We start from the raw sequence: 24,691 nt of genomic DNA, 5'->3' as shown, positions 1-24,691 counted from the left end.
ATCTGTTAATTCTTAGTATCATTTTTTAAACTCTAGAGACATGTTTTAGAAACTAAATATTTCTCATGTGGGATATTATTCAGGATTAGTGGGGATAAGTTGCAGTAATCTACAACTTCAAAATCTCAGTTCCTGAATACAGCAAGGTTTTATGTTTTTATCTTATAAAGTCTGCTATAGGTCTCAGCATCTGCATCCATTAGATTTCATCATCATGTAGCTGCATTTTCTGGATTATGCAGCTTCTCTGATGAATATAGTAGGGGAAAAGATTGTTAGAGAAACATATATGACAATTTAATCCTTTGGCCTGGAAGTCACATTATCACTTCCACCCCTGTGTTAGTCTGTTCTTGTGTTGCTATAAAGGAGTACCTGAGGCTGGGTAATTTGTAAAGGAAAGAGGTTTAATTGGCTCACAGTTCTGCAAGCTATACAAGCATGGCATCAACATTTGCTTGGCTTTTGGGGGGACCTCAGGGAGCTTTTACTTATAGCAGAGGGCCAAGTAGGAGCAGACATGTCACATGGTCAGAGCAGGAGCAACAAGGTTAAAGGCGGTGGTTTGCAACGCTTTTAAACAACCCGATCTCGTTATTGTGACTAAGAGAATTCTTAACCAGAAGAAATGCCCTGAAAGAAAAGTTAAAGGGAGTTCTTCTTGATGATGGGAATCAATACCAGAAGAAAACTTGGAATAAAGAAAGAGCAACAGAAATGTTAGATATCTGGGTAAATATAATACACTATTTTTCGTCTCTTAAGTTCTTTAAAATACATGATTATAAAATATAACATTGTCTGGGAGGGTTCAATGTATGTACATAGGACAACTATAATATCAAGGATTGTAAGGCTTCTATGTTTTATTTTTATTTACAGGTACAAATTAACTCTAAGTAGACTGTAAAAAGTTAGGTATGTATATTATAATCCCTAGGTCAATCACTAAAAAATAATAGAAAGAGATATAAGCAAAAAGCCAATAGATAAATTAAAATGAAATACTAAAATATATTAAAATAATCTGAAGGAAGGCAGCACAAAGGCAACACAGAAACAAATGAACAAAAGAGGTTAAAACCAGAAAAAAAAGATAAAATGGTAGACCTAAATCCAACTACATCACTTATTACATTAAATGTAAAAGGTCTAAACATAGACCTTAAAAGATAGAGATTGTCAGATTCTGATAATGCTGTCTATAAAAAACCTACATATCTATATAACTGACACTCTAAAAATTTTCCAGAGTGTATATTTTTCAGTTCTTTGCCATTAAACAAAAGTCTAGTTCTTAAAAGGTCATGTTAAGTATGATTTTCTTAATGGGATTACCCTCCTTCTCTAGATGCTCCCAAACGATCCCTAGATCAAATGAACACATCAAAGAATTCAGTATCTAGATTATATCCTGTTCTCATATCTCCTCACCTGCCAGCAGGATTATATTTGCTACACTGCTGTCAACCTATATTGAAGACCATTGTGAGAAACAATCCCTCACAACTCATCTTTATACATTTCACAAGTTTCCTGAGTTTTTATTTATTGTATCACACAGTCTCTTCCCAGAGAGAAATTATTTGAACCTACCCTTTTGAAGGGTAGAAATCTTTGAACCTTCCCTTAGTAAGATTCTTATTTTCTCATTGGCATCAGTGGTTGTGTAACTCTTCAGATTTCCCACTTTCTGTTGGCTGCTAGAAAGCTCCAAGCATCTCCCTGTAATGTTAATAAGCATTCCTACAATAAAAGGCCCTATGATCAAATAAATGTGCAAAACACAGGGCTAAAGAAAGTTAGGTTGATTTCTTTATTCTGTGATCTCATTTAACCTCACAACCACCTTGGAGGTTGGTGCCATTATTATGCCAGTTTTATAGATGATGAGGAAACTGAGTCTTCAGAGAAGTTTAGACCACTTGCTCAAGATTATACAGTAGTGGTGTCAGGACTGGAACATAGGCTGCTTGGATCCAGAGTCGGCTGTCTTGAAACTGTAGTCAAATCTTGTATGTAAAGTGCCTGACACAGAAAAAAAAATGCTTATCCTTATAGTATGGGCAGCTAAAGTGCTTACCTCAAGCCTGGCTTCACAAAAGGAGGAAGGGATCTGTAGGGTCAATTAGGTGGGACCCAGCACAAGGTCCCAGGGAAACCAGCCACCTCTATGTCAACTTTTCTACCCTTTTGCCTGGGAATGCTCCTGCTGGTGTTCAGATGTCCAAAGCGTCTCCTGATACCCCACAAACTTCATCCCGATACTCCTACTGATATTCTGACATTCGCCGGACTTCCCCTAAGTCCCATATTTCTCTCTTGGAGGCCTATCTTCTGTGGACCAATGTGACAGGGCTGGTATGGGGTTTGATGAACTTTAAACTCAGCATGGAGGTAACTGCTTATTGATCAGCCGTGTATCCATGGAAGTGGAGGAGGTAGAAACAGATAGAGGGATTTTCCCCTAAATTTCCTGAATAATGGGTCCTAATTCTTCACTATTACAGAATTAGACATTTATACTCTTTTCATGCATTAAGATGGGTGGAATATACATCCCCATTCCTTGACTTTGAGCTTGGCCATGAAACTTGCATTGGCCATGGGATATCAGTGAATCTCACAAGAAAAGGAGCTTGAAATGGAGATTGAACTGGAACCCCCACGACATCCATTGAACTCATGAGTTGTAATCATTGCCTAGAAGCTGCCTTCTTAATGGGGTCCCAGAACAAATATTGTCAGACTTGCAGCCTGAAGCAAAGCTGCTTGGCTGTATTCGTTTTCTATTGCTGCATCACAAAGTACCACAAACTCTATGGATTAACTCAACATTCATTTTATTTTCTCACAGTTTCTGCAAGTCAAAGTCTGAGTGCAGAAGAGCTAGGCATTCTGCTGAGGATCTGACCAGGTTGAAATTGGGGGCTGGCAGGGGCTATGATCTCATCTGAAGGCCTGTGTGGGGAAGAATTTGTTCCCAAGCTCATTTGGGCTTTTGGAAGAATTCAATTTCTAGTGGGTGTAAGACTGAGGTCTCCATTTTATTGCTGGCTGCTCGACAAGGGTCACTCTCAGCTCTTAGAAGATGCCTTAACATCCTAGCCATGTAGCCAGCTTACTTCTCAAAGCCAGCAGGAGGATCTCATTGCAGTCTGCTGTGATGAAGTCTTATGTAACGTAACATAATCATGAGAGTGACTGACTATTCCATCACCTTTGCCAGGTAACATAACCCTGTGAAGGTAGTGACTAGTCCATTATATTCACAGATCCTGTTCATGCTAAAGGGGTGGGAACTAAATAGAGTGTGTACACCAAGGGCCAGGAATCTTAGGGGACATCTTAATGTTGTGCCTATCACACCATCCATGCCTAGATTAACCCAACCATAGTCAACCCACAAACCTGTGAATGTGAGAATTAATGCTTGTTGTTTTAAGCCACTGAGTTTTGAGGTGGTTTGTTATGCAACATTATTGTGACATAGCTGACTGTTAAATTTCCTTTCAATAAGCACTGTCCTTCTAGTTTAACCAGTGTCATAGCTCCACTTTGGGGAAGCAGCCTGGTATGATGGACAAGGCATTTGAGATCAGGCAGATCTGGGTTTGAATCCCTACTTCTCCAATTTCTAGTTGGGGGAGGCTTGATCCAGTTACTTCACTGTCTGGGTCCATGTCCTCATTTGTCTGATGGGACTCACAATGCCTATCTTGCAGGATATTGGGAGGGTTAACTAAAACTATGGACGTGGAGTACCTGGTACGTAATATTAGTGTTTCTCTCTTAAGCTCTTAGTTCTAGCCAACAGGCCCAAGAGAATGAATGTGGTGTGAATTCTGGGAGGGGTCACTCCACTGCTAATACCTGAGGGTTTCCTGGCAGGTGTCTCATTGCCAGATGAGAAGGTGACCCCCGGGGCTCCCTGACCTGGGGTAGCCCCTCTGGTGTGAGCCCCCTAGCAGAAGGCAGCCCCACCTGTTTTCTATGGGGTAGAGACCCCAGGGATTCACCCTCACACAAGACCCCTGCTCCATCTCCCCAGTGCTTTGATATTAAAAATCAGACATGAACATGGAGAGCTCAGTCTCCACCACTGACCAGTGGTGTGAGCTTGAGCCAAGACTTTAAATTTCTGACCATTGATTTCCTTCCTGTACATCAAAAGGTTAAATTCCCACCTCACAAGGCTGTTTTTACACTGATGATACACAAAAAGCTGCTGCCTGGAGCCAATTAGGAGCTCAATTAAATGGCATTCCCCTTCCCTCAGAGCAGGGGCCATCTATGTCTCCTGTTCTTTTTAATGAAGCTCCCTGCCCCACCCTCCCTCCAGGGCCCACCTTGGAGAGGAGCACAGAGCAGGTGCTTCAGGAAGGTGTTTGCTTCTCCTCTTGATCCTCATAAAAACCCTCTGGGCAGCGAGTGCAATCCCGCTTCCCACTTCCCAGGCAAGTGGTAGATTACACCTCCCTGCTCCCTTTGAAGTGCAGTGTGGCCATGTGACTTGCTCTGGCCAATGGCATGTGAGCAGATGTGTCCTGTTTTGAGTGGAAGCTTTAAAAGCCAGTGGCTGATCCACCTGCTCTGTCTTTCCTTAGGTAACTGAGGCCAGCACGCTCGAGAGGATGCCTGTCTCCATCAGGCTGACTAGGATGAGTAGTGGTCATGAATATGGATGAGAAGAAAGCAAACCTCTGGTGTTTTAAGCCACCAACATTTGGGGTTGTTGGTTACTGTATTCTATGCTGACACAGTGGGACAGACTTTACTTCCATCTGAAAGACGAGACAGCGGAGGGGAAGTGACTTGCCTATGGTCACACAGAGAGTACTAAGGGGTGGGGCTTTACCTAAGGAAGCACTTTTTAAGGTGACTGGAGCTCTGAACTAAGGTGCTAAGAGCTAAGGTGACTGGAGCTCTGAACACCAGCCCCACTTGCTGCCTTCAGGAAATGGGTCCCCACTCCTCACTGCAGCTGTTTACACTGCAGCTGTTTCCTACTCAGCAGTAGGAAAATGATCTCTGTTCAGAGTAAGTCAGTGGCAGCCTAGGGAGGGGAATGGTGGAGCTCTGGAATCTGTACTGTCAGGAGGACCAGATATTCTAGATTCAGCCACACAGCATGTGCAATTGCTTTCGGTCTCCCTGTCCTGTGTGTCCCTCCCACCTCAGAGGCTTCATTTATCTAAGGAGCTCCTTTCCCTAACTAGCAAATTTTGTCCAAGGAAAGGCTGTGAAACTCATTCATCATAAGGCGTGCAGATCAATGAAACCAGGAAGAGAGACTGCTTTGTTACACAGCATTACTGTGGCAGTAGCTGACTGATACACTTGTCTATCCAATATCCATCTCCTCTTTTCTTTTATATACAGGAACCTGATTTTATTCTGGGCAGTCATGTGCCTGGGTAGAAAACTACATTCCTCAGCTTTCCTTGGGATGCACACAAAGGTCTTTGGGGGCAGGGGGTGCTTCTAGCAAAGCTCCTCAAGTTGGGGGTCTCAAAGGGCAGGCTATGTTGTGGAGCTCCTTGGCCTCATGCACTCAGCACCTCATGTCTTGTGTTGCTTTCCCAGCACTTGTGATGGACACCTCCAAGTGATGCAGGCACTCTCTGAGCTGCCTGCATGACAACAAACCTTTGGCTTAGGTTATCATCACGGTGACCTGGAAGATCCTTAGGTGTCAGCAAGCCTGTTTTTTTAAAATATATGAAAATAGGGTCCAAGAAGGGAAGAAAATTGTCTGAGGACCCATAGTGAGTTAGCTGCAGAGCTGACTCTCCCCCACATCTTCCTGACTTACCTGAAGGATAGATTGGTTGCAGATGGGTAGGTGGGGGACAGATGTGAGACAGGACATGGCTGGGAGCACTAGCTCTGATATACGCTTTCTGGATTCCATAGGGGACTGGCACAGAGCTTATCACACTCCAGGGACTCTGTGAAGAGGAAGATACTGGGGCAACTTCTGATTGGTTTCAGACCCTAGGAAGATCCAAGGGTTTCCCTCCAGATCTTGCCCTGGGGAATTTGGCTGGATTAACTGGACACAGGTCGACAGGAGCACCTTATCAATTCTTCATGTACAATTTCAACCAACAACTCTCTCACCCCACTGCATTCCTGGTTCAGAAGACAATCCAAGGAAACCAGAGCCCTGGAATGACTTGGATACCCAGGTTTTAGGGCCAGGGGAACATATGTGGAGTGGACATTGCTGGTCCCTGCCCAGGTCCCTTTTCCTGGGCCAGTGCACCTGTCCCCTAACTGATGTGCTTGTTGTTGCTAAGGGCTCATAGCTGTGCTTTCTCTGCAGGAGTGCCTGCAGCCCACAAAAGCCACTTTAGAGATGCTTGGGCAGATAGTTTACATATCACTTACATATCACCCACCCACCCACATCAATGGGACAGCCAGCAGTCAATGACTGACTGACACAGTACCAAAAGCCAGCCCCCAGCCTCAAGGTGGGACTACTCTGGTACTACAATCCACACTCCAGAGCTCCTTGTAGCATCAGGTTCAAGCTGGACTCCAGGTAAAACCACCTCTTTGCTCACCTTCTTTACTTGTCCTATCTTGCTTCCTTCATTCCCTTACAGCTTTCTCTGGAGATCTCTCCATCAATAATTCAAAAAGAGAAAAAGAGCCAGGCATACTGGTAGTCCCAATGACTCAGGATGCTGACGGGAAGATCACTTGAGCCCAGGAGTTCAAGGCTTCGGTGTGCTATGATCACACCTGTGAATAGCCTTGCACTCCAGCCTGGGCAACATAGCAAGACCCCATCTCTAAAAAGAACAAAGCCAGAAATTTGCCCGAGAATCCCCATATGCTTCCAAGCAATATGTAAGTTTCTGAGCTCTCTTCTACCTCCCAAATCCTATGTAATGGGAGACAGCCACTGAGGGTTCTAAGATTAGCAGCAGGAAAAGTTTGCTCTGGTGAAGAGAACTAAAGTTTCACCTTATTCTTTGACACTGTGCTGTTTCTATGAGCTCAGAGCGAGGCTTAAAGTAACAACATCCATTGAACAAATATTGATTAGGCATTCACTAGAAACCTCGCAGCTGCTTGGCACTAGAGGACCCAGTGGGGAGCAAGAGAAACACAGTTTCTACGCTGATCCTCTAAATTAGGTCCAAAGGCTTCTTGGACACCCCTCAGAGTCCCTTTTGGAGCAGCTGCATAATGACAATCAATTGAGTACACGAAACCTTCAAAATGCTTTTAATTTCTTTTAATGTATAACAGTTACGCCTGAGTTACAGAGGAAGCGCTTACAAGCAGCAGGTAGTTAAAGCAAATACCAGTTTCTCTTTCTAGTCTACTACTCCATATAGCTGAATAAATTATGGTGTGATTATATTTAAACACACACCTCACGCCCACACGCCCACGCACACACCCCACTCACACCCTCACGTACACCCACTCACTTCCGCATGGGGGAAAGTGGCTGTGAGTCAAACACAGAAGCAACAAAGTTGCAGTTACTAGGAAGAAGGAATGATCTAGAGTACTATGTAAATATTTCCCAGGTCAGGGAATTGGCCACGTCAGAGCTGACTTGAAGAAGCATCAAATACACAGAAGTCTCAGAGCGTTTCAAGTTGGCGGCTAGAGAACCCCCATTTGGTCTTGGTTTTGGTGCCTCTGCAGGAGGGGAGGAGAGAAGACCTGTGTACCCCCAAAAAGTGTCCAATAGTGCGAGACACATTCGGGAGCTTGATGAGAAGAACATCAGCCTGAGAGAGGTCCCAGAGAACATCTTTTTAGTTGGGTGATGGAGTGTCACTGAGGCCCAGGATCCAAAATCTTGGATGCTTCACCAACTCCATCTTGAAACACTGGATTCTGGCAGTGGTCAAACTCTGGGACCCGTCCTGTTCTCAAGCCAGAGTCAGATTTCAATCTGGCTCTTCGTTTTCCTTCTGGGCAAACCTCTCTCTCCATTCTTCTTTTCTTCTCTCTTATCCCCCTAGTTCTCTGTTTGCTCTGCCCTTTGATGTTCCTCTGGCAAAAGAACAACAAAGCTAAATCAAGTATAAAATGGAAGTATAAAAGCATAGCTTGGTTCTTACACATCACTTCTTTTTTTCTTTATATAGCAAGAGAGAAATACCAAATGAAAAAAATAAAGGAACAAGATTGAAAGAACCCACTAGAGCCTGGAATGCATAATTTGAAACACACAATATGAAGATATATCCCTACAGATGGTCTCTGGCACTAGCACGACACACACTGTGGGGGATTTCTTTCCTTTTTTAGTATATATATATATTTATAAAAAGTCAGCTTTCTATAAACGAACAGCACATCACCACGTTTCCAACTATTGTACAATGAACTCAGAAGAGAGCCCTCCTTAGAGAGGACCAACGGCGACTTGTGATAAGTTGGAGGAAGCAGCTCTTATTTTGCTACAGACTCTATTTACAGGGATGGATGGGGGTTGTTTCTGGGACGGCCTGGCCACTGGAACCCAGACCTTCTTTCTCAGGCTGTGGTCAGCCCCAAAGAGATGGAGGCCTTGTGTCTCTCATTCAACATCACCTCTCTGGTGATGTTTCGAGTTGCCAACACAAGGCTGAATTTTATAACCCAAGTTGGCCAGATGCGTTAATATACGGGTTTTAGAGAGAACCTATCAGGGTCAAGGGCCTCTTTCTGAAGGGGGTGGGGCCTGTCAAGGAATAAGTCCCATTTTCTACCAAGATGATGGCTTGGGAGAACTTATGTTCAACGTCATGAGAAATCATTTGGTTTATTCCCAAGCAGGTCTTTGTTCCATTTCACCATCGGGACCAGATATCTGGGATTGGTCCTAGCATTGGAATGTCGCCTCCTGGGGATGGGGCTGGGTGGTTTTGATATCAGCTGCCTGAGATCCCTGCTCCTGAGTCACAGAGGGTGTCAGGATACTCAGATACTTTCTGAGCCAGGCCTCCAGATGGAAGGATTGGCCATTCAAGGAATGTGGATGACGAGTGTTTGGTCTTCAGGAAGAGTTGCTTTCTGCTGTGATAGCTACAAAAGCAGGGACTGGGTTACCAAGGGACAACAGAGTCTTCTTTTTTGTCCCGAGCTTGAAGAGCCAAAGGTCTCTGGCAGTGGACGCTCCAGTTGCAACCTTGGTTGATCTTGATGGATCACATGTGTCTGCTGCTACCAAAGAGTCTGTTTGTCCCCAGTTATTCATAGGTTTCTCTAAACCAGAGATATGAGCCAGCCTGGTCATGGTCCAGAACAGGCTTGATATCGCCAAGTCTGAAGATGAGAAACAGGTAAGCATTTGTCACAGAGGTGATGTCCATGCAGGTGAGTGTCCTAGAATCTTGCCAACCCAGCTTCCCAGGAGGGAGGAACTCAGGTTGACTCCCAGAGCAGCAGCCCTTTCCCTCTAGGAATGTCTTGTTGACTGAGGGCAAGAGGCATGGATTGAGCAAAGAGGTGGCCTCATGAACCCAGATGGGGACAAACAGTTTGGTCCAATGTTTGTGAATTCAGTGCTGTGTCTCCCATCCCAAGTGCTTTGTACTCAGCAGCACCTGATAAAGGTGATGGAATGTAGATTACAGTGACAGTGATGGTAAAGATGAATATGATTTTGATAAATAGGTAAAGGTGGTAAAAAGTTCCCAGGGAGGAGGAATTGAGGGTTTGAATCATCCTCCCAAGGTCCCAGCTCTTAAAAGCATGGAACTTCAGGAGGCCACTGGTGTGGTCAAGGAAGGTGCCTCTTCCCTCTGCTCTGGAATTGTTGACATCTTCCTCTGCCCAGGGCTGGTAGCTTGAAAACTGGTCACATCTGCCTCAGCTCAGCTGTGCCGGATCAGGAGGCAGGGACCTCTTGGCCAAGATGGAGGCAACATTGAAAGATGCCACTCTGAGCAGGACAGCAATTTGCCCCTAACAACATGCCAGGGGGGATCATCTTGTCTGTGGGGCAAACCATCCCTGCCCAGTCTACAACCCTCCTCCAAAGCTCTGAGGGTAGCTCTCTGCATCCCCACAAACTGAAAGGGGTTTGGGGAAGATGGAGACCTCTTCCTAGAGGATGGGGCATGGTAAGGATGGGCTCGGGCCTCTGCGGAAGGCTTTGGGCAAAATCTCAACTCCCTGGGGTGTGGACTTGCAGGCAGAGAGCTGAAGCCTTGGGCAACAAAGGCTTGCCCTCCCACAAACAGAGGGATCTGGTTATGAAAGTGCCTTCTGAGCCCACTTCCTGCTCCTCCACTCATGTATCCTCAAGACTTTATCCCCTCCCCATCTCATCTGATTCAGCTAATGAAGGAAACTGAAAAGTTCTGTGGGCTCCCCAGGCCCCAGATGGAGTGGACATGCTGGGAACTTGGGCTTCAGGATAAGAGCCCTCTGCTTCCAGAAGCCTGAGTTGGGTCCTTGTATCCTGGGCGGGCCCACGGCTGACAAGCCCCACCCCCATGTGCCCCTACCCTCTGGTTAAGCCTCTTCCTGGTCTCCCCAGTCTCCCTGCCTGTGCTAGATTTCCCCATGCACCCAGTAGAGGTGTCTGGGGAGGGTTCTGAAGTCCTTCAAATTCCTGGGTGGGGGTGAGACTGCCCCCCTGCTGACTCCCCTGGGAAGACCCCAGGGCCAGGGTCCCCTCTTTGCTGGAGTCCCAATGTCTAGAGGAGGAAAGGGCTGTGGTTCTGACACTGAGCCAGAGACCCTCCTTGCAGGGCTGGCTCCCAGTACATCCAGCTGAGAGCAGCCCTGAAAGCTTCACCTCCACTTCTAGCTAGGGCCCCCACTGGAGTTGGGTCCAAAGGGCTGTAGGACCTCCTCTCAGGCACCATCCTCCTCTGGACACCCAAGGTGTTCAAGGTGGGCCCCAATCTCCATGCCTGAGATGGCACAGAGGCCACCATGGGATTTGACAGGGGAGGACCTCAGGCTGACCAGAAACCCTCCTTGGGGAAAGTGGGGAGCAGACTCCAAGGGCATCACTCTGGATCCCTAACCACAGGTGAGTGACAAGCTGGCTGTCTACCTCCAGGGGGCTGGTGATGAGAAGCAGGTGGGCTCCTTTCCTGGCCTCCTAGGACAACAGGGGGGTGAGGCGGCAAGGCTGGGAAGCTCAGGGGTCAGTTAGGGTTGGGCTGGGAATTGGGCTGGGGCAAGTCGCCCCAGGGGCCCTAGTAGGCCTGGCCAGTTTCCACAGGCAGGAGTCCCAGCACAGCAGAGTGCTCCCCGAGCTTCATGCGACGCTGGGTGGAGAGGCTCACATTTTTGGCCAGATAATCAACAGCAGCTGGAAAAAAGAAGAGACTCTCCTAGAAATTGAGGTTCTTTTTGTTTATTCTTCCATTCACTCTATCTACACCCATCCATCCATCCATCCATCCATCCATCCATCCATCCATCCATCCATCCATTTATCCATCCATCCATCCATCCATCCATCCGTCCTGTCTACTCATCCATTCTTTCATCCATCCATCATCCTTCCATCCTTCTATCCACTCATCTTCTCATCCATCCAGCCATATCCATGCATCCATGCCTCCATCCACCCATCCATTCTGTCCATCTATCCATCCATTCATTCATTTATCCATTCTCTGTCCATCCATCCATCCATTTATCCATCCATCCATCCATCCATCCATCCATCCATCCATCCATCCATCCATCCTTCCATCTATCCATCTCTTCATGAAGCTCTTTCTCTCACCTCCTCTCCAATCATTCAGCAAATATGTTTAATGCATTTTGTGCCCAGCTCCCTGGTAAGTTCCTAGGGAGGCACAGAAGATTACCCACATTGCTGAGCAAAGAATTAACCACCCCTCAACAAGCCCACTACATATACCTGCTATGGAGAAGGCCCTGTGAATCCCTGAGTGCAGGTAATGATGAGGGCAAGGTCTCTCTGCCTTCTCTATCTGTGCCCAGCTTACAGATAAGGCAAAGCAAGACCTTTGCTGCGAGGCCAAAGTGGCTGTGGGTGAGCTGAGGGATCCATGCAGAAGGAGCCAGGACACAGATACGCAGGGAGCTGAGACCTACAGCTCTGTCCATCTGGTCCCCCAGAGGAGACAGATGAGTGTCTGAGGGTGTGTGTGCCTGAGAGTGGTGCATACTTGTGTGTGTGAACAACTGAAACAAGAATCTCCTTGAATTAGACTGCACATGAATGTCCACAGAAGAGCAACATTTGCACACACACATGCACATATGTGTGTGAGTTGTGTGCACCTTTGTGAATAGATGAACCTTGGGAATGCCAGTGCATGTGCAGGCACTGTGTACAGGTGAGTTCCAACTCAGCCAGGTACCTGCCTCTATATTTGTGTATGTGCAGGGATGACCCTTGACCTGCATGTACAAGTGTTCTGTCTTGACTGTACTAATTCTGCCTTTCTGAGGCTACAAAAGAAATCAGCCCTGACCAAATGATTTGGCTGGGGTGTGGCCAAGGCCTCCAGAAGCACAGAGATGCTGCCTCCCAAGCTGGGATCTGTGGCTGTGGCCAGTCCAAACCCCTGGGATTTGTAGGATCCAGAAGCAAGAGGAAGATGGAAAGAACACTGTGTTAAGAATTGCAAGGCCTGGTTCAACACTTGTTCTGTCACCTGACCACAGGGGACGCTGTAGCACTCTACATGCTTCCCCAAGGTTGGAGGTTCCTGCCCAGGGCAGGTGGGTGGAGCCAAAAGGTGATACGCACGGCCTGAGGATGAGGCCAGGGAGGCCAAGTGGACAGTGCCAATCGTTGAGCCACGGGAGGCTGTATTGCCTAGTGGTTCAAATGACGGAGGTTCAAATCCTGCACATGCCAACTTTTAACGTGTGCTCTGGGGCATCCCACCTCATCTATTCAAACCTCAGTTTCCTTGTCTGTAAAATGGGGATCGTAACAGCAGCTATCTGAGGAGCTGTTATGAAGGTTAAAGAAGAAATACGTACAAAGTGGCTAGCTAGTACTATGCCTGGCACAATGTGAGCTTGAGAGATGTTGGTTTGGAAGCAGCAGAAGACTAGGATTGGGATTTAGTAAGTAAACATGGCCTTTGATGGGGGCAGGAGGGGATGAAGCAGCAGATGAGGTGGCTGCAGTCCCAGTTACCTCCTGCTCATGTGGCCCTGGGCACATCACTTGACCTCTCTAGACCTGCTTCCTTGTCTGCAGAATGGGGGAAATAAAGTCCAGCCTCCTCCAGGGCTGCTGCTATCAGGATGAAGTGAGACACTGTTCTTTAAGATGGTGGTTACAGAGCATGAAGGGGCTTGGCCCTCGACAGTCCCAAGGGATGTGCAAATGCCCTGGAATCTCTCTGGAGTGTCTGAACCCTGTGCCCCTCTGCTTACCAGGCTCCAGGGTGGGTGATGAGAGGAAAGTTAAGTCTGCCTAGGGTCTGAGCTGAGCCCCCAGGGACTGCCAGCCTTCCTCTGAAGTCACTTGGCCTCCAGGCTCCCAGTTGGTAGAGCAGAGTTGGTGGCAGTCAGCCTGGCCCTGCCTTGGGTCTGCCCCTTACTCTGTGTGAGGGTAGGGCCATTCCCATCTCTGGCCTTGGGGGGACTCTGTAGCCCTGGCCACACCAACTCTGCTACTGGAAGCCTGCCTTACCCGGGCTCCAGTGTCCATCCCATTAAGAAGCCTCATTCTGCCCGAGCACGGTGGCTCATGCCTGTAATCCCAGCACTTTGGGAGGCCAAGGTGGGTGGATCACGAGGTCAGGAGATTGAGACCATCCTGGCTAACACCGTGAAACCCTGTCTCTACTAAAAATACAAAAATTAGCCGGACGTGGTGGCGCATGCCAGTAGTCCCAGCTACTCGGGATGCTGAGGCAGGAGAATGTCATGAACCTGGGAGGCGGAGCTTGCAGTGAGCCAAGATCGCACCACTGCACTCCAGCCTGGGCAACAGAGCAAGACTCCGTCTCAAAAAAAAAAAAAAAAAAAAAAAAAAAGAAGCCTCATTCTTAGAGGGACAGTCGGAATAGAAAGAGGAGAAGCCAGGGTTTACAGAGAGCTTGTTCTATCCTAGTCCTGTTCTAAGCATTTTGTGCTCATTTTCCATTTAATTCTTACAACAACTCTATGAGGCTGGTAGTGGTGGTATCCGCATCTTACAGATGATGGAACTGAGGCTCTGAGAGACTGCACCACTTCAAAGATCACACAGTTCATAAATTGTGGAGCCAGGATTCAAACCCAGGCAGTCTGAGCCTGGATCCCAGCCACCCCTGCAGGCTCCTAGAGAATAACCCTTTGTACATGCAAAACACTAGAGGGCACGAGGTGCTCTGCACCCCAAATTCTGCATTGATCCCATGTTCTGCTCCAGGCAATGTAAGCGATCTGTCCAAGGGCACACCGCTAAAGCAGGTGACACTTTCCCGGAGTCACAGCAGCCGCTGCCTCCCCTCCTTACTTCACACCATGCCAGCCTCTCACACCAACCTCTTCAGCTATTCCTGTGGATGGGCTGAGAGCTCTGTCTTTTTAAACAATTGATACATAATATTTGCACATATTTTTGGGGGTACCTCTGATGTTTTGCTACGTGCATAGAATGTGTAATGATCAAGTAAGGCTGTTTAGGGCATCCATCACCTTCAGGATTTATCTTATCTTTTCTTTCTTTCTTTCTTTTTTTTTTTCTTTTTGAGACGGAGTCTCACTCTGTCTCCCAGGCTGTAGTGCAACAGTGCAATCTTGGCTCATTGCAGCCTCCGCCTCCCGAGTTCAAGCAATTCTCCTGCCTCAGTCTCCCAAGTAGCTGGGATTACAGGTGCCCACCAATACACCTGGCTAATTTTTGTATTTTTTAGTAGAGATGGGGTTTCACCATGTTGGCCAGGCTGGTCTCAAACTCCCGACCTCAGGTGATCTGCCCACTTTGGCCTCCCAAAGTGCTGGGATGACAGGTGTGAGCCACCATGCCTGGCCCAGTATTTATCATTTCTATGTGTTTCAAATCCTCTCTTCTAGCTATTTTGAAATATACAATACATTGTTGTTAGCTGTAGTCACCCTATTCTGTTATCAAACACTAGAGCTTATTCCTTCTATCTAACTGTATGTTTGCACCCATTAACCAACCTCTCTTCATCTCCCTCCCTGCTTCCCTGCCTCTAGTAACCATCATTTGACTCTCTACCTCCATGAGATCAACCTTCTTAGCTCCCATATATGAGAACATGTGATGTTTGTCTCTCTGTGCCTGGCTTATGTTACTTAACAAAATGACCTGCAGTTCCATCCATGTTGCTGCAGATGACAGGATTTTATTCTTTTTTATGGCTGAATAGTATTCCACTGGGTAGATACACTATATGTTCTTTATCCATTCATCTGTTGATGGATACTTAGGTTGATTCTACGTCTTGGCTATTGTGAATGGTTTTGCAATAAACATGGGAGTGCAGGCATCCCTTTGATACACTGATTCCTATCCTTTTGATAAATATGGTAGTTCTAGTTTTCACTGGCTTTGAATAATAATCAGAACAACAAGGCGAGCACCCTCATGTATGGACCACCTACTGTGTGCTGGCAGGCATGACCACATCTATTTCTTTCAACTGCCCCATGCTTTAGGTATCAGCGTTCTCCTTCTATAAATGAGGAAACTGAGGTACGGAGAGGTCGCTGGCCCAGAGTCACATGCAGTGCGTGACATGGAGGAGGAGTCTGCATTGGTCCTGCTTGTGCCTCTGGCCACTCTGCGTGCCTTATCCTTGTCAGCCTCTCCCAGCGACCAGCCCATGGGCCCAGCACACAGTAGGAGCTTGCCAGGCCCTGTCTAGGTAGCCAAGGAAACACCAGGAAGCCAAACTTTCCTGATGACCCTGCCAACTTCAAGGGCACCCAACAGGCTGCACAGCCTGCCTCTCCCAGGGGTGGAGCCGAGGGGCCGGCGAGGGCAGGGTTGTGACATCTCTTATTATGGCCTCCGTCAACGGCCCTCCCTGTCCCTCTGTCTCTCCGCATCTCCCCTCTTCTGCCTCGCGCCCGTGGCTGGGCTCTAAATGTCTCAAATTAGATTAATTGGGAGTTGGCAGGAGATGTGGTGGTGATGCCAACCGGTAAACAATCTCAGCCGTCAGCGCCTCGTCAGCCCGCAGCCCCAGAGGAGGACCCTTCTAGACACAAATTCTTATTAGACTTGTCAGATCTATTAAAATTCTTTTCACACTTCAGCGTTCTATCAGCCCCATTATTAGTACAGCCCTGGCCTCTGGGAACACCAGGGCCGTATTAATCTGCCATGTGCCCCATCCCTGGGCCCCTGCCCCCACTCCCCTAGAGACGAGGAAAGACGGACAGGTGGATGGACAATGGCCAGAGCAGGAAAAGGAGTGAAGGTGTCCCTGGCAAGATGAGAAGCCCACGGAGAAGAGGAGGAGTACTCTGGGGCCTAAGAGTTTGGCCCATGTGTAGGCTTGTTCCATGCACACCTGAAGGTGGCTCTCCAGGAACCAGGCTGCAGGTGTGGCTGTGTACACATCAGTATGGGCTGCCGGGTGACCTTGCATAAACAGCCTCTCTGGGATCCCATTTCCTCATCTGTCCAATGGGAATAACCACGTGTACTGCATAGGGTGGCATAAGGATGAAATGCTAGACCCATAGTAGATGCTCAATAAATGGTCGTTCCTCCTTCCTTTACACATGCACATTTTGTATATTTATATCTTAAAGCTGTGTACACACATTAGTGAACACTCACATATAAACCCCTCTCTCTGCGTGTGTGTCTATCCATATGCACATGCATGTGAAGCTGTGGACATGAATCCACGCATGGGTGGGCTCAGGTGTGTATCGCTGCTCAGTGGCCTCCACAAATCTGTGGTTTGAAGTTAGAAGACTTTGGGTCCACCATTGCCATGCTGTGGGATTTTGGAAAAGCTACCTCGCCTCTCTGAGCCTCGTTTTTGCACCTGCAACCTGGGGACAAATAACTTAGAGAATGACATGAATGAGGAGCATGCATTTTGCCCAGTGCCCTGTGGGATGAACTTGGGCAGAGGGCAGGTGTTAAGGGAGGACAGATGGACCTGGGCATAGGCGGGCACAGTCCAGGACATGGGACTCTTGCACACACACTGGGGCATCCCAGCCACAGATGGATTAAGTTGCCCAGGGATGTGGGGCAAGTGGTTAGCGGGAACATGATGTGTCTCAGGGCCTCCAAAATGCCAAAGGAGAGGGAGGTGGTGCAATGGAAACACTTTGAGACGGCTAAGTCTAATTCGTGGCCTCCATTTCACAGATGGGAAGACTGAGGCTCAGAGAGGCAAGTGTGTGGCTGCCTGCACTAATTGGGGGCAGAGGAGGGGGCTTTTCCTCCAGCCCTTCCCTCCCAGCTTGGGCCCAGAGTCTCTGTGGGGTGAGTTGGGGTCTGTGCTGGGCTCCCTTTGGGGAGGGCTGGAGAATGTGGCCAAGAGGAGCTCTGAGCTATTCCTGGAGAAGCCAGGGCAGCAGGGGTGGAGCTGGAAGGGGAGTGACAGGAGGAGAAGGGAGTGGAAAGAGAGGATGGAAAAGAGAAGAATGGAGTAGGGGGTGGTGGGGGAGGAGGAAGCTGCTCTGGCTGGCTTTGTCCAAGCAAGAGGAGAACAAACCCTCCTTTCTCGCCTCCTAGGCCCCTTCCCTTTTGATCCCCTCCCCTGCTGCCCCCATGCTGACTTTGGGGTTAATTTTATTTCCGAATTGAGCAGGCGCCCCTGGAGCAGGGCACCGAGCTTGGGTGTGACTAACGCCTGCCCCAGGCCGGGGCTGCCGCTGCCGCTGGGGTCACTCTAAAATATTTATCAAGAGCATGTGTGTCCTGCTGCATGCCCAGGAACACGGGCTGGGTCAGGAGGTCACCCTGGGACCCTCTGGAAATTCTCCCATGCACATGCGTGCACCCTGCTCTCAAATATACATGCAGACCCCCACGTACACATTCACACACACACACACACAGTTATACACACAGACACAGTGTATGTCTACACCCAGATGTACATCCATACACATGTACACACAGCCACACCTATGACATACTCAAACATACACTCATACACTCACCCCTATTTACACACTGCACACAGAATATGTGTCCACACACAGGTACTTCCAAACACACAATCACAGACACACTCAAGCATGTGTGCATGCCTCAATGCATGGCTATACACATGTACATACAGTCACATGTTTGCACACTCATATACATCTATACACACGCATACATATTCATTATACCTATCTACATATTGACATATGCATACCTATGCCAAACATGGAGGCACACATAAAGACACGCTCAACCATATGTACAGACTTGAATGCACATTTAAACATGTTTAAGCAGATACATATACTTACATATATGTGTGCACATGTGTGTTCACACACACAGATGTGCACATCATGTATGCACAATATGCTCATTTATGTGCACGCATGTGAAGTCATATACACATATGCTCACATGTGCCCACTGACACATACATGTATTCGCGCATATGCAAAGATGCATGCAATAACACATGGGTGCTGAAATAGAAGCATCACATGCACACACACACAAGAATTGTAACATGTCCCAACATACGTACTCACAAACACCCATACACACATGTGTACATACACATATGCAAACATGTACATGCACAGGAAGGGTTGTGAACACAGCTGGGAGGTGGAGGCCGACATAGCTGGCCCTCATTTGGCAGTGGCCCTCATTTGGCAGTGGAGGCCAACGACACGTGAAGAGGAGTGGGTTTGGGGGGGTGGGCAGGAAGCAGAGGTCAGAAAGGCTGGCCCAGGGCTGGGCTGGGGGAGAGGACACCCTCAGGGATGGGGGCCTCACCCTCTTGCCACACGCCCTTCTGATTAGTTTGACACCAGCAGGTGAGGCCTTTGCAGGGCGGTGGGGCAGGAAAGTGACCCATGACCTCTGGCTCCCTGTCCCATCTGGACCTGCCCTGCTGCTGGCCTTGCCAGGCGGTGGAGGCTGTGTCCAGGCCTGCGTTTTCCAGCCTTTGGTGTGAGGATCCACGGTCCCTGCCTCAAGGCAAGGCACAAAGGGGATAGCAGCTGGGATGGGTGCATGAGACCATTGCAGAGTTTGGAGTGGAGGAGAGAGTTGGAAACACAGCTTTCCCATGCCCTGCGGCAGAAGGGGCAGGGTCTCCCACTGAGCTGTCCAGCACAGTGGCCACCAGCAGCACATGGCTGCTGAGCACTTGAAATGTGGCTAGTGCGACTGGGAAACAGAATTTCAAATGCCGATTTCACTTGAACTAATTTAAAGTCAAAAACCAATCTTCAATTGGGTTATTTAGTAGTTGGAAAACTTACAATTTGGAACACTTTGGGTTTGTAAGTATATTTTCTCAGTTGCAAACTATATGAAATTTAAATACAGATCAAGTATTTCTGTTGAAAACTCAGTGTCCGAATTAAAATGGGCTGTAAGTGTAAAACACACACATGATGTCAAAGACATAGCATAAAGAAGAGAATGTAAAATATCTCAATAATTATATATGAATTGCATTTTGAAATGATAATCTTTTGGATGTACTGGGTTAAATAAAATGTTAGTAAAAATAATTCCATTGTTTCTTCTCCTTGATTTTTTTTTTTTTTTTTTGAGACAGAGTCTTGCTCTGTCACACAGGCTGGAGTACAGTGGCGTGATCTCGGCTCACTGCAACCTCCGCTTCCCGGGTTCAAGTGATTCTTGTGCCTCACCTACTTGAGTAGCTGGGATTACAGGTGTGCGCCACCATGCCTGGCTAATTTTTGTATTTTTAGTAGAGACAGAGTTTCACCATGTTGACCAGGCTGGTCTTGAACTCCTGGGCTCAAGTGATTCGTTTGCCTCAGCCTTCCAAAGTGCTGGGATTACAGGCATGAGCCACCACGCCTGGCCTGTTTCTTCTTATGTTTTAAAATGTGGCCACTAGAAATGTTAAGTGATATTTGTGTTGTGTATTTTATTTCTGTTGGAGCCATAGTACGGAAGCAGAGGCTTAGCCAGGAGATGTCCTGGGTTTTGCCCAACTCAGTGTCATTTTAGGTGAACTGTTCCATCTGGCTGGACTTCAATTTTTCCATCTGTGAAATGGACATTCCCCACCCTGACACCACCTTGTAGCTCTCCATAAACAAGCAGGAGGCCCTGGGGGTGGGAGAAGGAATGGGGACGGGGGACGCCCAGGGCACCAGGCACTCACTCTGGCCGTACTGGCCGTACTGATAGCCGGCCACGGGGTCCACGCTGTAGCCGGTGGTGCTGTAGGTGGGTGGGCAGTAGGCCTGGGAGGTGGGCAGGCTGTCTCCTGGCTTGATGGAGTCGGCCCGCTGGCTGCAGCTGGCTGAGATGGAGGTGGCCGAGTCCAGGCCGCCATGCAGCGGGGAGATGGAGAAGTCAGCCTGTGGCTGCGGGGGCACCGCACTGGGGTTGCCCAAGATGCTCATCACCTGTGGGGAAAAGGCCATTAGTGCCAGGCTCACCGGACAGACCCCAGAGACACGAGCACACTGGGCACAATGCCAGGCTGGCCCTGGAACACTCTTTGCCAGAGTTGTTCCCTTGAAGTCTCTGTAGCTTCGAGGTCCTCAGTTTACCTGATTTGCGTGCCCTCATGCATGGGATGGCTGCTGGTCTTCGGTGTTTCTCTTGAAGGAGGGTCCTGACCCAGGGATCCTCCTTCCACTGAGAACTCAGCAGGGCCTTACTCGCCTCTCTAGCTCCAGGGTCTGGCCCTAAGGGTCACTCTGGGCCTGTCTATTGAATGAATAAATGCATGAATGAATGCATGAATGAACGAACTGGCTAATGAGGCCTCTCCCATCAGTCAGGGAGTTCTCCAAGCTCAGAGAACTGTGCCTCCCCCATCAGACTGGGATGGCCCCATCTTCTAACACAAACATTACAGCAGGACTCTTGATCTGTCTGCTGTCACTGTGTGTGGCTTGCTCTGCCTGCCACTCCTCCGGACTCTGAGGTTCCTGCCCCTTCGACACTGAAGCCCACAGCCAATGCTTTCAAAGAGCCTCTCAGGCCCCTTCCTTTGATTCTACCAGCTCCTGAGGTCTGTGAGCATCCCCTCCTTCCCTGCCTGGCCAGGTTCCGCAAATAGGAACTCACTGTCAGTGCTGGCAACACAGACTACCAGGGGAGGCTTGTCTCTAGAAGCTCAGCTTAGGGGACCTGGATGGAGGTCCAGGTGTTCACTTACTGGGATGTTCACTTGTTTACTCCACAAACAGGCATGGATGGTGACTCTGGCCCCAGGCTGAGAGCTGAAGGCTCTGAGACTTCAGAGGAGAAAGAGCCATGGTCCCTGCCCTCGGTCGGGGGAGAGGAGGAGGAAGGGTCTGGGTCGGGTGAGGGAAGCTACTAGCAAAGATCATAGAGACATGGAGTAGTGATACAGGCATCTTATCTATCAAAGGACACAGAGGAGGGCACCCAGTCATCCTTGGCAGTCTGGGAAATCTAGGGGAGGTGGAACCTGCTGTCTAGCTCTCCAGGAAAGAGGACGGGGAGAAGCAGTGCTTTCCTGGGGTGGGACTGGGAGTGGTGCAGCAGGAGCTCCTGGAGAGTGGGAGGGCACAGTGTCCCAGTCAGTTCAGAGCAGAGCAGGGGAGAGGGCAGGAGAGAGAGGGCACAGTGTCCCAGTGAGTTCAGAGGAGGGCAGGGGAGAGGGTAGGAGGGAGAGGCAGGCCCTCGTGAACCTAACCTGCAGGGCCCAGGCCCCTGATGACCTCCTGGTGATGCCGCCCTTTATGGGAGGAAGACCCTGAGTATGAGGTGGGGACGGCTTTGCTGATAATCTGCCCAGCACCGAGACGGAGAACCACGTGGCAATCCCTGCTGGGCACACAGTTGAGTTCCCTGACTCCCCTTACAGGGTAAGAAAGCAGGCTGCGGGCATTCGAGCAGTGATCGTTTTGCCGACTAGACACCTTCTGAAGATTTTTACCTTTGCCTTTATTATTGGCTTGTGCCACAGGCATTGAGGCCTGGCCACAGTCGAGGGCACTGATGGATTCCTCGGGCTAGGGACAGACAGCGAGCTCCTCCGTTTACCAGCTGTGTAACCTCGGGAGTATCCCTGAGCAGTTAACTCATTTGACTCTCCCAACCCAAAAGCCCACAGAGATTTGTGGGGCAAAGCTAGGATGCCCATTTCCCAGATGAAAAACTGAGGCCCGCAAAGGGGCCGTGGCTTCCCTAGATCTCACAGCAGGCCCAGGGCTCAGTTCGCCTGACCCTGGCTCACCTGCAAAATGTCAAGTTCAACTCTCAAGAATGAATGAGGTTGAGGCATCTGATCACTTTAGAGGGTCTCACTCCAAGGACCAGCAGTAGTTTGTTTCCTGGGCAGCTAATGTGGGGTGAGTGGGGTGGGGTCCCTTGCTCTGGGGGAAGCTTAGGTCCTCTGGAATGTCTTGAGCAGAGCCTCTGCCTGGTTCTTTCCCCCATGCCCTCAGCCCTGGGGGTCTCCCCTCCTCCACCTTTTCCCTCTGTCACTCTCACCCCAGAACCAGAGCTCAGAGCTCAGACCAGCTGAGACCGTCAACTGGCTAGTCTTCATCTCCACACAGCTGGGGAGATTTGGGTGGGACATAGGGGTGTGTCAACCTCATCAAGATGGCAAAGACACACTGGAATGGGTTTGCAAGAAGGAGAGAGAAAGTCTGCCTGGGAGGCAGGAGGCTGGGCTGGGGAGGGTCTAGAGTCCTTTGGACACTAGCACTACTTTAGGGAGCTGAGGTCTCCCTAACTCGCTCTGTGTTGAATGTGCTTCTGAGATCTTTGTTGTGGTCGGGTCAACAGTAGGGTGCTGGGGTAGTGGTATGTGAGGGTGTCTGACACTGTGGGACTGTGTTTGTTGCTTTCTGTCTGTCAAGATGGGATCTCCTTAGCTTGAAGAATGTGCTAAGGGGCTTGGGGAGGAGAGCAAGGTCCCAGGGCAGACTCAGGAATCTGAGTCTACCCTGGGGTTCTCAGTCTAGACCTTTTCCCACCCATCTCCTTTCTCACCCAACACAAACACGGACCCTGCTCCCTGCTCAAAGGAGGCCTGGACTCCAAGAATAGACTTAGAGGCTCAGAAAAAACACTCAGGCTCCAGATCACTTCTTTCAGAAGGACAGTTGACGGGGGCTGGGAGACTACTGGGAGGGTTTGTCAGCTCCCGTGAGACTCCAGTTTGATCCTTCCCTCCTGCCCATCCCCAGGATGCCAAGCCCGGATGGGATGATGGGAGGGGAGGAGTCGGGGGATGGTTAGGAAGAGGACGAGGATGTTTTGAGACAGGCTGAGAGCTATGTGTAGTCCCACTACTCATCCTCTAAGACAGAGACCTGCACAGAACTGCTGCCCAATCTGACAGTATCACTCAAGAATTATGAATGGCTCCCCATTATCTCTCAGCAAAAGCTCCTAGTGACCAGACCTCTAGCTGCCTGTCCCAACTCCTTTCACCCCTTTCTACCCTGCACTTTACCTTCCAGCTATCCCAAACAATGTGGTATTTCTTGAAGATATCCTTCATTCATTCACGTATTCGTCCAACAAGCATTTCATAGGGTGCTACTATGTGCCAGTCTGGAGCTAGGGCTGGACTATGAGCTCTTTGAGAGCAGGATGGAACTGCATTTTGTCCGTCTCTGTAGTCCCAGTGCCTACGTGGTACTTGCTACATATTCTGAGCTCAGAAAACCTCTGCTGAATTCATGTGTATTCCTTTAACAAACATTTACTGAGCACCTATTATATGCCAGACACTAAGCCAGGCACTGGGGACACAGCCATGAAAAATGCCAATCCCATGTCCTCCTGGAGCTGTCGGCCTAAGGAACGAAGCTGACAATAAACAAGTGAACAAATAATATAATTTCTGATACTGATAAATGCTACGGAGGAAAAATAAGGGGCTATGTGGGGCAGTCAGGCAAGACCTCCCCAAAGATGTGATATCCAGCAAGACCAGAAAGAACAGCCCTGAGAAGACGAGGCAGGGGAGCTTTCCAGGCAGAGAAGTCAGCAAGTGCAAAGGCCCTGAGGTCCCTGGGGCTGAGGGGGCTGAATCACGAGATACACCCAGCAGGTTTAGGAAATAGCAAGAAGGTGAAGGCGGAGAGTAAAAATTCCAGGAGCTGCGAGGGCTTGTGCAGTCCTTTCTCAGAAGGGGCTTGGGTGGTGCCCGGTGGCTCAAGAGGCCTTGGACCCTGGGCTGTGAACTGACAGCTCAGAAACAGCTTGGGTCCAGGGAGCTTTTCCCGTAATGGGATTTGCTCAATGGGATTTGCCCTGGAACATCAAATCAAATCCACATCTGGGGAGGGTGTGAATGGAGGATGTGCTGCCACTGCTTACTCTCTCCCAGAGCCCCTGGGGGTCTGTGGATCAAAGGGCTTCCATTTCATCCAACCCCCTGTCTCCAGGCAGGGCAGCGTCTAAGCTAATGGGACAGGACCCAACTGGAGAGCGGCGGGAGGGGAGAACACTCACTGATGAAGACCACAAGGCCTGAGTCATATATTGGCCAGTTCATGGACTCCTCAAGCAGATGGGGTATCATTACTCCCATTATGCAGATGGGGAAATTGAGACACGAGGAAGCAAAAGGGCTCACCCACAACCACACAGCCGGTAAGTGGCAGAGCTGGGATTTGCACCCAGGTC

At 49.0% G+C, this 24,691-nt stretch overlaps 1 protein-coding gene across 3 annotated transcripts in view, besides 3 other annotated features; it reads right to left on the bottom strand.

Annotated features, from left to right (window-relative positions):
- PAX7 (paired box 7) overlaps positions 7,238-24,691 on the bottom strand; it is a 118,021-nt gene continuing 100,567 nt past the window's right edge. For 2 of the 3 annotated variants that reach the window (NM_002584.3, NM_013945.3), the window contains exon 8: positions 19,966-20,472. In NM_002584.3, the coding sequence (NP_002575.1) occupies positions 20,065-20,472 (408 nt within the window). In that variant the 3' untranslated portion in view covers positions 19,966-20,064. Of the gene's footprint in view, positions 11,291-19,965; positions 20,473-24,691 lie in introns of those variants that run through there. The other variant, NM_001135254.2, reaches the window with a different exon arrangement.
- Positions 15,896-16,397: an enhancer, noted in NCBI's record as "H3K4me1 hESC enhancer chr1:19066201-19066702 (GRCh37/hg19 assembly coordinates)". NCBI's record gives its function as "activates a minimal SCP1, AML or CMV promoter by ChIP-STARR-seq in naive H9 embryonic stem cells {active_cell/tissue: H9 hESC(naive)}" and the evidence as "EXISTENCE:reporter gene assay evidence [ECO:0000049][PMID:30033119]".
- Positions 17,253-17,759: an enhancer, noted in NCBI's record as "H3K4me1 hESC enhancer chr1:19064839-19065345 (GRCh37/hg19 assembly coordinates)". NCBI's record gives its function as "activates a minimal SCP1, AML or CMV promoter by ChIP-STARR-seq in primed H9 embryonic stem cells {active_cell/tissue: H9 hESC(primed)}" and the evidence as "EXISTENCE:reporter gene assay evidence [ECO:0000049][PMID:30033119]".
- Positions 17,760-18,267: an enhancer, noted in NCBI's record as "H3K4me1 hESC enhancer chr1:19064331-19064838 (GRCh37/hg19 assembly coordinates)". NCBI's record gives its function as "activates a minimal SCP1, AML or CMV promoter by ChIP-STARR-seq in primed H9 embryonic stem cells {active_cell/tissue: H9 hESC(primed)}" and the evidence as "EXISTENCE:reporter gene assay evidence [ECO:0000049][PMID:30033119]".

The sequence above is a fragment of the Homo sapiens genome, chromosome 1 (assembly GCF_000001405.40).
Source record: "Homo sapiens chromosome 1, GRCh38.p14 Primary Assembly".
Lineage (NCBI taxonomy): Eukaryota > Metazoa > Chordata > Mammalia > Primates > Hominidae > Homo > Homo sapiens.
The sequence above is the reverse complement of the archived record's forward strand: the minus strand, read 5'-3'. Positions and strand labels throughout refer to the sequence as shown.